The 13,733-nt window shown below is 36.8% G+C and overlaps 1 long non-coding RNA gene and 1 pseudogene across 1 annotated transcript in view; one reads left to right on the forward strand and one right to left on the reverse strand.

Annotated features, from left to right (window-relative positions):
- LINC01266 (long intergenic non-protein coding RNA 1266) overlaps positions 1-13,733 on the forward strand; it is a 253,911-nt gene that overhangs the window by 14,280 nt on the left and 225,898 nt on the right. The window lies entirely within an intron of this gene.
- Positions 11,405-12,005, reverse strand: RPSAP32 (ribosomal protein SA pseudogene 32; annotated as a pseudogene).

Consider the following 13,733-nt stretch of genomic DNA (forward strand, 5'->3'; position numbering starts at 1 on the left):
ATAAGAAAAATATTTTTTCTTCGTGACCCCAGGTGTCATGGATAAAAGATCTATAGATATAATTTTCAAGTCAGTGCAAGGGTATTTTTTCTGACACCGAAGTGATATTAAAGTGGACTGAATTCTCTTGGGAAGTATTTAACTCCTAATTCTGGAGCTATTCCAGTGCTTGATAAACCACTCAGTGAAGATACTCTCAAATGAGTTCTTAGTATTTTTGTGTTAAACAGAAAATTTTCCAGTGTTAGGATAATTGGCAGGGATGGAAGGACTCAAAATTGCACTAATTGTATTATTCATAAAGAATAATGGAGTCACCACCAAAGAATAACACAGTGTCTGAAAGGCATCCACGGATATCACTGTCTTCATTTGTTGAGTCTTCATCATCAGGTTACTGTTTTAATAGAGCTATTTACTTCCTTGGGTACACTCTCAGTTGTTCACTCAGATATGTTATCATAAGTTCAGATAAATAAAATATTTTCAGAATCATCTTGAAATTTCACTATACCTATTATTTGCAACAAATGTTATTCCAGTTTCCCTTTGACTCTTTTAGCTTAATGTTCTGTGTAACAGCCATTGCTGTTAATATACGTATTTGGGGCAAAAAATACAATATCCTTTGTGATATCCCTTGGATTGTAATATCTGACCTTTGACCCCACATGTTTTAATTATGCAACTAATTATCATGTAATAAAGGAAATACAACTTCAAGATGGTAGCTTTGTATTTTATATTTAAAATCTTAGAAAGTTTTATTATTGATAAATAAAAGGATTCAAAATAATCCTGAAGTATAATGATGTTAAACATATAGTTTAGAACTAGATTAACAAAATAATACCATTTGCATAGGTAGGGTGTCTGATATGCTTCTAAATTAATTTGATTTGTATATTCTTGAAAACTCCCACAAGTTATTTGCATGTACTAAATAGATGTTGCTTTTTATTCTGAAAGAATGAGAATGAAGATAAAACATAGGTTCATAGATTGGTCAACATGCAGAAAAACCAATATTGATTATTTTTACAGTTCATTACATCATTAACATATTGGGATTTCCCTTTTACTACAGACAGTAATATATTTCACTATGCATGTTTATTGAAATACGTTTTAAATAGATTTGCATAACAAAGTATATATTAGTTCAAGCAGATGTTTAGGGTCATAACCGTCAAGAAATTTGAGCTGCCCAGGCGTGTGGCAAAATCAGGGTTACTAATGATTGTTTTATTGTTTCTGCATTTCAGTCATAGAGTCTGGCAGATTGCAAGTGTACTGTTACTCTGTAGGAGGTATAAAATGTTCATGATGTTATCTTGGGCGAGGCCTCCAGCCTGGAAGATCAGCATAACTCTGAGTTGCTAATCTGGCCAGTTCAGTCTTTGTTTTTATAGAGAAAATCAAAGATATATCAATTGATGCTAGTTGCAAATTATAGAAATGTTGTGATTAGTATTTTTGAAAGTCTTATATTAACAACACTTCATTAGTTGAAAATTCTTCTCCTAGGCTCCAGTTACTATCTTCCCAGCTTAAATCCAGAAAACAACAGCAATGTCTTTGCCAGCTACCTCACATTTGGAGAATTGAACACTGTAGCTCAGCTTGAGGAAAGATGATAGCATTGGAACTGATTTCACTTTCTGAGCCTTTTTTTGAGGGTATTTACTAATAATACTTCTGAACTGTAAAATCTGTGGGTTAGCATCCCCCTCTGATGCAAGAAACCTGGAGTTTACTGGCTAGCTAGCAAATGCAAAATTAGACAATTTTGCTGGGAGCTAAATATACACGGTTAAGTGTGTTTGACTATTATATGGCTGCAGAAAGTTCCACATGCCAATTTATTTGCTTATGGTGTTTTGGAAAATGGAATCCTTTAGAGAAAGAGAAAGAGAACACACCAACTTTCAACTCCATTGATTTTAATTAAGCTAACTGTAGATTGGCAAGCACTGCAAAATTCACAAACCTGATGAGACAAAAGAGATTACACAATAGGTACAGGAACTAATGGCTAGTCCTTAATTATCTGAAACTGACAAGACAATGACCTGTCAAATTAATGGAAATTATCTTCCATAAAGCCTTGGTGGAATGGCAGCATAATATTGAACTTCAGAAGGAAAAGAAGCCTGGACCAAAAAGAAGTTCCTTGCCCTTAAAAATGAGCATACCATAATAGACACAGACATGGGAAGATGCTCATGATGTATTAAGTAGAAAAAAAAAATAGAAAATAATATAGTCAGCCTGTTCCCGTTTTGGTAAAATTGAAATACACCAAACCACTTTTACCTGTTCTACCAACATAGGATGTGTACCTGGTCACTCCTGTTTCGTTTTATTGTATATATATGTATTTTTTTTCAATTAATATTGGAAAACCCCATTTTCTCTTCTGGGAAAAAAAATCTAATACTGTCTCTAGGTCCTTCTGCCAAACCCAGTGAGACAGATCCCAGATGCCAATGCCATTGCTTATCAATATCACATGGTATCACTGTCAGATGCACATCATGAAAAACTTCATGCCTGTCTGCTGCTACTGGGATACCCTTGCTAGTAGAAGCCTGTGCCAGAGTGGTGCTCATGAGGTATCAAGGATATAGCCCATTTTACATCATACTCCCATGTTCCATCCTTATTCCACTAAACAATCATGGAGCTAGTAAGGCTGTGTTTGGATGAGTTACTGCAAGCTAATTTTAGTAGGCCAAATAATGCATACAGTAAACTAGAGAATATTTGCTTGAAAATATTATGGTGACTTGTCCTTATTTTAGACTCACCTCGTAAGTAGTAACTAAAACAGTAAATGAATGAATGCAAGCTGTCTGGACCAGCTTGGTAATAAATATCCTGAAGTTCATCTTTCCATTTTTAAAAAGTCACCCAACTTATGTTTGATAAATATAAACAAACTTTTTTATGTCATCATTTTAAATGCTTTAGGAAATGGTTTCATTTCCTTTTGTTTTGTCCGATGTTCATATCTTTCATGCTTTGCTTATCTTTTGGAAGTGTCTGTCCAACTAGAGCTCTTCCAAAGAGATATTTGGCAAGGACATCTTCTGCTCCCAGGTATAAAAGGGAGTCAAACACCATTATTATTTTTATCCTTCAGGAAAAACCTTCTGTGAAAATCCTGATTGCATTTCCTTTTATAAGATTCTGTCTCATATTTATTAACTGAAAGGTTGGGTCAAATCAGCCACTTGTACTCTCTGTAGTTTATCAGCAGAAGGATTCTTTGAAAGATTAAATTGCACAGGGCTGACTTCTAAAGTGCAGTGAAAAAAATAAAAAAGCCACTTGGTAAAAATGCTAAAACTGTTATTTTCTTGGGAAATGTTGTAGAATTTTAGCAAATTAACATGTTACATTTAAACCCATTTGTACTTGAGACTGGATTGTTTATAGATGCTTGAAAGAACCATTATTTGTGTGTACAGATAAGCAAATTGAAAAACATAATTACTCATAACCGTGTTTCATGTTTTCCAGAATCTTAAAGAAGTCAAAAATATCAGTGAAATCAAGCATGGAGAAATATTGCATTATTAATATTATACTGAAAAGTAAATAAGATTTTTGAATTTCTTTATAAATCATTTTTAGTTATCATAATCCTTCAAGCATCAATTCACTGTGTTTTAAAATGCACATTTATTATCTCTGTATGTGATTTTTCACATCTTTCATTTTTTTCTCTATATTTATGTTTGGGGAAGAACGTGGAATATAGAATGCAGACATGATGTCTCTGAAATACATGTCTCCTCTCCCAAAGACATAGTCACATTTTATAGTTAAATTTTGGTTTGAAAGTTCTAATTTCTCTTCCATTAACCTTTCTGATTCCAAATGCTACCAGTCTCTGTGGCCAAGAGAATGATACACCATCTTTCTCCATCCCCAACAACAGAAAGCTCAGTTTCATCTTCCATTTTCCCCAGCTTTTCCACCTCATACCACTCAGAAAGTCCTGGATTTTATTTTCTTTTGAGTTTCTTGAATAGGTTTACCCTTTCTCCATTTCTGATTCCTGAGTCCTTTCATTAGTCTCTTATTATTATTATTATTATTATTATACTTTAAGTTCTAGGGTACATGTGCACAACGTGCAGGTTTGTTACATATGTATAAATGTACCATGTTGGTGTGCTGCACCCATTAACTCGTCATTTATATTAGATATTTCTCCTAATGCTCTCCCTCCCCCCTCCTCCGACCCCACTACAGACCCCAGTGTGTGATGTTCCCCTTCCTGTGTCCAAGTGTTCTCATTGTTCAATTCCCACCTATGAGTGAGAACATGCAGTGTTTCGTTTTTTGTTCTTGCAATAGTTTGCTGAGAATGATGGTTTCCAGCTTCATCCATGTCCCTACAAAGGACATGAACTCATCCTTTTTTATGGCTGCATAGTATTCAATGGTGTATATGTGCCACATTTTCTTAATCCAGTCTATCATTGATGGACATTTGGGTTGGTTCCAAGTCTTTGCTATTGTGAATAAACATACGTGTGCATGTGCCTTTATAGCAGTATGATTTATAATCCTTTGGGTATATACCCAGTAAAGGGATGGCTGGGTCAAATGGTATTTCTAGTTCTAGATCCTTGAGGAATCGCCACACTGTCTTCCACAATGGTTGAACTAGTTTACAGTCCCACCAACAGTGTAAAAGTGTTCCTATTTCTCCACATCCTCTCTAGCACCTCTTGTTTCCTGACTTTTTAATGATCGCCATTCTACCTGGTGTGAGATGGTATCTTATTGTGGTTTTGATTTGCATTTCTCTGATGGCCAGTGATGATGAGCATTTTTTCATATGTCTGTTGGCTGCATAAATGTCCTCTTTTGAGAAGTGCCTGTTCATATCCTTCACCCACTTTTTTATGGGGTTGTTTGTTTTTTTCTTGTAAATTTGTTTGAGTTCTTTGTAGATTCTGGATATTAGCCCTTTGTCAGATGAGTAGATTGCAAAAATGTTCTCCCATTCTGTAGGTTGCCTGTTCGCTCTGATGGTAGTTTCTTTTGCTTTGCAGAAGCTCTTTAGTTTAATTAGATCCCATTTGTCAATTTTGGCTTTTGTTGCCATTGCTTTTGGTGTTTTAGGCATGAAGTCCTTGCCCATTCCTATGTCCTGAATGGTATTGCCTAGGTTTTCTTCTAGGGTTTTTATGGTTTTAGGTCTAACATGTAAGTCTTTAATCCATCTTGAATTAATTTTTGTATAAGGTGTAAGGAAGGGATCCAGTTTCAGCTTTCTACATATGGCTAGCCAGTTTTCCCAGCACCATTTATTAAATAGGGAATCCTTTCCCCATTGCTTGTTTTTGTCAGGTTTGTCAAAGATCAAATGGTTGTAGATGTGTGGTATTATTTCTGAGGGCTCTGTTCTGTTCCATTGGTCTATATCTCTGTTTTGGTACCAGTACCATGCTGTTTTGGTTACTGTTGCCTTGTAGTATAGTTTGAAGTCAGGTAGCGTGATGCCTCCAGCTTTGTTCTTTCGGCTTAGGATTGACTTGGCAATGTGGGCTCTTTTTTTGGTTCCATATGAACTTTAAAGTAGTTTTTTCCAATTCTGTGAAGAAAGTCATTGGTAGCTTGAAGGGGATGGCATTGAACCTACAAATTACCTTGGGCAGTATGGCCATTTTCATGATACTGATTCTTCCTATCCATGAGCATGGAATGTTCTTCCATTTGTTTGTGGCTTCTTTTATTTCACTGAGCAGTGGTTTGTAGTTCTCCTTGAAGAGGTCCTTCACATCCCTTGTAAGTTGGATTCCTAGGTATTTTATTCTCTTTGAAGCAATTGTGAATGGGAGTTCACTCATGCTTTGGCTCTCAGTTTGTCTGTTATTGGTGTATAAAAATACTTGTGATTTTTGCACATTGATTTTGTATCCTGAGACTTTCCTGAAGTTGCTTATCAGCTTAAGGAGATTTTGGGCTGAGACAATGGGATTTTCTAAATATACAATCATGTCATCTGCAAACAGGGACAATTTGACTTCCTCTTTTCCTAATTGAATACACTTTATGTCTTTCTCCTGCCTGGTTGCCCTGGCCAGAACTTCCAACACTATGTAGAATAGGAGTGGTGAGAGAGGGCATCCCTGTCTTGTGCCAGTTTTCACCGGAATTGCTTCCAGTTTTTGCCCATTCAGTATGATATTGGCTGTGGGTTTGTCATAAATAGCTCTTACTATTTTGAGTTACGTCCCATCAATACCTAATTTATTGAGAGTTTTTAGCATGAAGCGTTGTTGAATTTTGTCAAAGGCCTTTTCTGCATCTATTGAGATAATCATGTGGTTTTTGTCTTTGGTTCTATTTATATGCTGGATTATGTTTATTGATTTGCATGTGTTGAACCAGCCTTGCATCCCAGGGATGAAGCACACTTGATCATGGTGGATAAGCTTTTTGATGTGCTGCTGGATTTGGTTGGCCAGTATTTTATTGAGGATTTTTGCATCGATGTTCATCAGGGATATTGGTCTAAAATTCTCTTTTTTTGTTGTGTCTCTGCCAGGCTTTGGTATCAGGATGATGCTGGCCTCATAAAATGAGTCCGGGAGGATTCCCTCTCCTTCTGTTGATTGGAATAGTTTCAGAAGGAATGGTACCAGCTCCTCCTTGTACCTCTGGTAGAATTCAGCTGTGAATCTGTCTGGTCCTGGACTTTTTTTGGTTGGTAGGCTATTAATTATTGCCCCAATTTCAGAGCCTGTTATAGGTCTATTCAGGGATTCAACTTCTTCCTGGTTTAGTCTTGGGAGGGTGTATGTTTCCAGGAATTTATCCATTTCTTCTAGATTTTCTAGTTTATTTGCATAGAGGTGTTTATAGTATTCTCTGATGGTAGTTTGTATTTCTGCAGGATCGGTGGTGATGTCCCCTTTATCATTTTTTATTGCGTCTATTTGATTCTTCTCTCTTTTCTTCTTTATTAGTCTTGCTAGTGGTCTATCAATTTTGTTGATCTTTTCAAAAAACCAGCTCCTGGATTCATTCATTTTTTTGGAGGGTTTTTTGTGTCTCTATCTCCTTCCGTTCTGCTCTTAGTTATTTCTTGCCTTCTGCTAGCTTTTGAATGTGTTTACTCTTGCTTCTCTAGTTCTTTTAACTGTGATGTTAGGGTGTCAATTTTAGATCTTTCCTGCTTTCTCTTGTGGGCATTTAGTGCTATACATTTCCCCCTACACACTGCTTTAAATATGTCCCAGAGATTCTGGTATGTTGTGTCTTTGTTCTCATTGGTTTCAAAGAACATCTTTATTTCTGCCTTCATTTTGTTAGGTACCCAGTAGTCATTCAGGAGCAGGTTGTTCAGTTTCCATGTAGTTGAGCGGTTTGGAGTGAGATTCTTAATCCTGAGTTCTAGTTTGATTGCACTGTGGTCTGAGAGACAGTTTGTTATAATTTCTGTTCTTTTACATTTGCTGAGGAGTGCTTTACTTCCAACTATGTGGTCAATTATGGAATAAGTGCGATGTGGTGCCGAGAAGAATGTATATTCTGTTGATTTGGGTGGAGAGTTCTGTAGATGTCTGTTAGGTCTGCTTGGCTCAGAGCTGAGTTCAATTCCTGGATGTCCTTGTTGACTTTCTGTCTCGTTAGTCTATTAACACTCACACCGTCTCCCTTACCCCCCCCTACTCCAAGCATAGATACTATTATCCAACTTTTAAGTATGAAAAAACTGAAGGCTGCTCAGGGCTTAAAGGTTTAAATTAAGGCTATGATTTGGATCCAGATCTGCCTCTCTCTAAAGCATGAGCTTTTCAACATTACAATAGGCTGTCTCACTTTTCACTGATATCAGAGTAACCTTTTTTAAACCATGGTGCTGAACATATTCCATTTCCCTGCATAAGTGGATTGCAACTGGTGTAGGTTTAAGTACAGATTTCTTAGCAGGACATCAAAGTTTTTAATTACCTGACTCTCACCTGCATTTCTGGCCTGTTATATTTGCAATCACTTTCTCAATGACTTCTTATATTGCAGGTTAATCAGGAATATATAATCAGCCTGCCTAGAACATGACTCCATGTCTTGCCTATGTTAGACTCTCAGCCTGGAAACCCTTCTACTTAAAACTTGTCTTCTTATCTCACACCCTTAGCTAGGAAAAGTTTTCTAACTTCTAGGTAGAGCTGGTTCCTCCGTCTTCCAGGCATCTTCACACCTTGTACTAGGCAATGAGCTCTTCAACAAGAGGGCCCACTTGTTTTCTACTTTCTTATTCTGCAGAATCTATTGTAGAGCCTTGCTCATACTGGGACTAAAAATACATTTAAAAAATAAAATTAAGCACACTTATTTTCCATAGGAATTTTTGAGTCATTGGTTCCCTGAATAGCCCTACTCCCCTTTTCCATTTTGAAGAAGTACGTATAGTTTTCCAAAACGTTCTTGTTTGACCAGTGCGATCAGTTCATTTAGTCAAAGCGTTTGCACTGTTCCTAACTTTTCTACCTTAAGAAGCATACTTTTGCTCAAGCAGAGCGTTTAGTGCACGTCTCCTTTAACAGATTCCTGCTGAGAGCTAACAGCTGGATTATTGAATCTTCTCCTTCAAAACCACTCTTTGACTTATTACAAGATTATTTTTCTCAGTTACATTTGATTCTTTATAGGTACCGTTTTCTGCCCCTGGCCTTGTTTAAAATTGAATTGTGATGGCTCTTCCCCTGACTTGTCTTTTAAAGCTATTATCATTTACTTCATTTTTTTTTTAGGCCTTTACTGGAAAATTTCTGGCTGTAACACTTTCTTATAATTTCTATTTCTATTCCAGGTTTCTGCTTAAGCACAGTGTTGCATTAATAAGGGTCAGGCAAAGTTTCAACAGCATTTAATCTTACACTTTAAATTTTTGTTCACATTTTATGGTCTTGACACATTTACTGTAATAAAGGGAAATCATTAATTCACTAAGAAACGTGTAAAAACTATAGTTTTGCTTTTGATTAATTTCCACATTCATCATTACTTTGCTACTAATTTACCATGCATTGAAGAGACTGAGGGTGCAAAATATGATTTTTTTTCTTTGTTTAAAAAGAACTGTCTTAGAAACCAAATGAGGCTAAAAATGTACCTGTGTTTTGGCTGTCAAAGGGGAGAAGATTACTTCTTCTTGAACGTGTTTTCTGTCTCATCCTCATGTTTCCTTTATTTATACCAAATACACCATACCGTTCTCTACTTTTTTTTTTTGAAGTAAAAGAAAGCTATAGCCGTAGCCACTGTCATATTAACTCTGAAAATAGGTTTTTTCCTTTATGAAGAGGAAAGAAATCTTAATTTACTTTTGGCTTATGGAAGGAAATCATCTAAAATTTTATAATGCCAGCTACATCTTGAACATTTTTGAATACTGTTGTTATGAAACAAAATCATACTTGAGCCTAGAGGTCAAATATATCACCAATATTGGCAGCAGGCAATTGAATAACGATTTTTTGTTTTTGTTTTGCACTTGGATAATTGATACTAAAGTGGTAGTGACTACTAAAATTAATGAAAAGGAAGCTATAGTTTTTACACTATAACTAGGCCAAATTGGGAAGGTATCAAAATTATAGTTATAAAATGAGACTGAAAGTTTAAAACAGATCACTACCTATGACGCACACAATTGCAAGCCCTTTTTCGTAGATCAGTCAATGAAGTCTTTGCAAAAACCCAAAGAGGGTTATTTTGGATTTTAGGGGAGGAGAAAACTGAGACTCATAAAGTTAAATAAACTCTCCTCCTTTATTGTATTGTTTTGTTAAATATAGATTTTTATTCGTATTTTTAACAACACAAATATTTGTAGAAAAATTTAGAGAATGCAGAATAAGCAAGAGAAAAATAAACACAATGTATTGCTATCCCCCCAGTTTTCTTAACTGTGTATTACGCATTTTTGTGTAGCCTGCTTTTTTGCTTTAAAATGTCATGACCTTTTCCAACCATAAGTATGTTATTTTTCATATGTCAGTTTTAATGGCTATAATATTCTCCTCAGTGTTTTTGAGGGTCTTTGAGAGCACTCAGTAAGTAGCACCTGTCTTTTCTACCCAATTCAGTTGAAAAATAGACAGCAAGTGGAGAACCAGAATATCACCCTATTCCTAATTAAGGCACAATTGGCAGGCACAGCTTACAATGAGAGAAAAAATTGGCTTGCTCACTGCATCCCTTGGAAGTTTGTTGAGCTGTGAGAAGAACCCACTTCAGGGAAAGCTTAAAGCCAGGGAGCAGGAAATCCCTGCCCTTCACTGTCCCTGGCTAGAGGAAGGAGGAAAAGAAGCAACTTCTCCAAGCAGAGAAACTTTGATCATGTCTACCCAATACCTGTAACACACCAACCACTGTAAAGCTGGTGGTCCTCTGCTCTGGGGATGAGGAAGTGGTGGAAAAGGAAGCCAGGCAGACTGCGGAGGATGCCACAAAACAAAGGTGAGGAAGGAGGCATTCCCCTGTGATATATGAAGTTCATATTACTCATTTAATCAATCCCCTATTGTTGTACACTTAGGTTGTTTCAAAACAACAATGAAATTAAATGCATTTGTAATTAATTATTGTGTACATTATAGAAATTTTCTTTAAATGAAACTCTATAAGTAAAATTCCTGGGACAATGTTTTTAACATGTTTAAAGGTTTTAATGCATTTTACCACATTTTACTCAGGAAAGTTTTGTCAATTTACATTACCACTCAGTAATGTGTAACCTCATTTATTTTTAATAAGTGTATTTGAACCCAGGAAAGTTGGCTCTGGAGCCCAAATTATTAATCTTAACAAAATCCTGCTAGTTACTAAATAAAAAAAAAACTGTAAAATTCATGAAATTTCTCTGACTCCATAAACTTTCAATGGATAATTTCTATATCTGTCCATACTGCCTGGGAGTGGAGAATTATAATGGTCATGAAAGTGGCCTTTGGCCTTGGACTCCTCCTGGCTTTGAATTCTGAATTTGCCCTTAACTAGAGCTGTGGCAAGTTATCATAGATGTTCAAGCAACTCTGCTCTTCACAGTGCTAATAAAGACATGCGCAAGACTGGGTAATTCATAAAGAAAGAGGTTTAATTAACTAACTGTTTGGCATGACTGGGGAGGCCTCAGGAAACTTACAATCATGGCACAAGGTAAAGGAAGCACATCCTTATTCACATGGCAGCAGCAAGGAGAAGTGCCGAGCAAAAGGGGAAAAAGCACCACTCACTATCAGGAGAACAGGACATGGGAAACCTCCCCCCTGATTCAATTATCTCCCACTGGGTTCCTCCCATGACATGTGTGGATTATGGGAACTACAATTCAACATGAGATTTGGGTGGGGACACAGCCAACTCATATCAGCATCCACCACATCAAACCCACTAAGTGAGCTACATTTTTGCTGCATGGAATGAAAATGTCCACACAGCACAGAGAAGAATATGTGCTTCATAGAGTAATGATAGTCAGGTTAACACAAGATGCTTCTGTGAGAGGCTGATGGTCAGCCCTGAGATCAGTAACCAGAAGCCGTGGCTTCCAGAAGGCTGCCTGGATCTGGTTAGTGAGGATTTCAGTAGTGAAGTGACCAGCAATAGGAGTAGCTCCAGTGGCAGCAGCGAACTTCAGCACAGCCCACTGGCCAGGATTCCTGGACGACCTGACATTGACATCAGCAGGGTTTTCAAGGGCAACAATGGCATAAGCTGTCAGCAGAAGCTTCTCCCAGGTCCTCTTCAGATTTAGGATGTAGATGCCATCAGTTTTCCTTTTATAGATATACTGTTCCATTTGGAAGGGTTGGTGCCACCTAGCAGGTTCCAGCTACTAGGAACTAGAGGGCATCCTCCTCCTTCATTTGCAGGACATCAAGGACTCCCGACATTGTGAAAGTTTCCATTTAAGTTACCATGGGAACCCAGAGCAACACATGTGGACTCCTGTCTGGATAGTGCAGAAACCTAAGCCTGCTTTATTATATCCACCCACATTTTCAAATTTCCAGCATTTTTATCCGACCTTTAAAGATAGTAAAGAAGTCAGAATATTTTTTAAGTATATAAAAGTAAATAATTACCTTATTAATCAGACAAGACTTTACTATAAAACCAAATACCTCTGAGTTAACAATATTGAATATTAACATGGTAAAAAGGCATCAGGATGAGTTCTTTTATGGAGAGGTCCTAAAAATATATAATATTGAAGTGTATGTGTGACACAGGTAAGTTATATTGCACTCAGAAGTGTTGGAAATTCTGTGAGAGATTGGTTTATATTTGAGAACCTGCGTGAGTCTAAGATGGCTCTCGTCTTCTTCTAGAAAAGAACAAATGTGAAATAAGACCCCTATTATTTCTTTAGGTCTTACTGAGATTTCTTCTTTTGCAAGAGGATGTGAGTTTTCTGTAGTAACACCATACTTCGCATTGGATCACTAGGTAGTTATGGACTAATCTAGGGCTGAGGGAGAGATTTTTATGACACACTTTATAATAGACTTTCAGCGTTTTTCAGAAAGAAAATCCCACTGAGGATACAAAGTTTATATTTTTCTTTGACTGTAACACATCACAATAAAGATGATACTCTGCTGATATATGAGATTCATGTTATCTGCAGGAAAACTTAAAGTGTTTTGTTCTATGTGACAGTGACACTGTGTCTAAGAATGCTAAGGCAGAGAAAAAATGGAGATTTAGGTAATATTTATATAGATAAGAAAGAAAGTTTAGGCTCATAGTCCAGAAAGTAAACTGCTAATTCTTGCCTAGTATGTTTTTTTTTAATTTTTTTAATTCCTTGAGTCTCCTCAGTTTTGCATGATTTTGACACTGTTTACCAGACAATTCTACATTATCTCTCCTTGTCTTTTGGTTTGAATTAAAAGTAATTTAGGATAATTTCAGTTTACCTAAAATTAATGAATCTAATTCTTTACCTGGTAAAAAAAAATTTGTTCTTTGTCTTCCATAATCTGTCCCTCTGTAATTATTAATTTTACATGTTAAGGTCCAGATATTTGGTCAAACACTATTTTGAATTCTGCTGTGAAGGAATTTTTAAGATGATATTAACATGTAAATTAGTAGACTTTGAGTGAAGCAGATTAACCTCCATAATCTAGGTGGGCCTCATTTCATCAGGTGAAGCCCTTAATGGTGGGGGGATGGAAAGACTGACCTCTCCTAACATCTTTCTCTCCTGAGGAAGAGGGAATCTGGCAGCAGACTGCCTTAGACTTGAGCTGCAACGTTCATTCTTTCCTGGGTCTCCAGCTTGCTGGTCTATCCTGCAGATTTTGGACTTACTAGCCTCCACAATCACATAAGCCAATTTCTTAAAATAAATCTATTTCTCTCTCTCTCTGTCTCTTTCTCCATCCATTCATCCATTCATCCGTCTACACATTTTTTATTGTTTATTTTTCTCTGGAGAATCTTGACGGATACACCATCTGTTTATCAATCATTCTTGAAACAGAAAATTCTACCTGTGTATGCACCTTGACTGGAAAGAGTTTTTGCCAAGTCTGTACTGTACCTAGTTAAGGCATATTTAGAAACATGGCCGTGGGAAAACAAAAAACAGCAAGATTAAAACATGGAGATATGGCCGGGCGCGGTGGCTCACGCCTGTAATCCCAGCACTTTGGGAGGCCGAGGCGGGCGGATCACGAGGTCAGGAG

This window comes from Homo sapiens, chromosome 3 (genome assembly GCF_000001405.40).
Source record: "Homo sapiens chromosome 3, GRCh38.p14 Primary Assembly".
Classification (NCBI taxonomy): domain Eukaryota; kingdom Metazoa; phylum Chordata; class Mammalia; order Primates; family Hominidae; genus Homo; species Homo sapiens.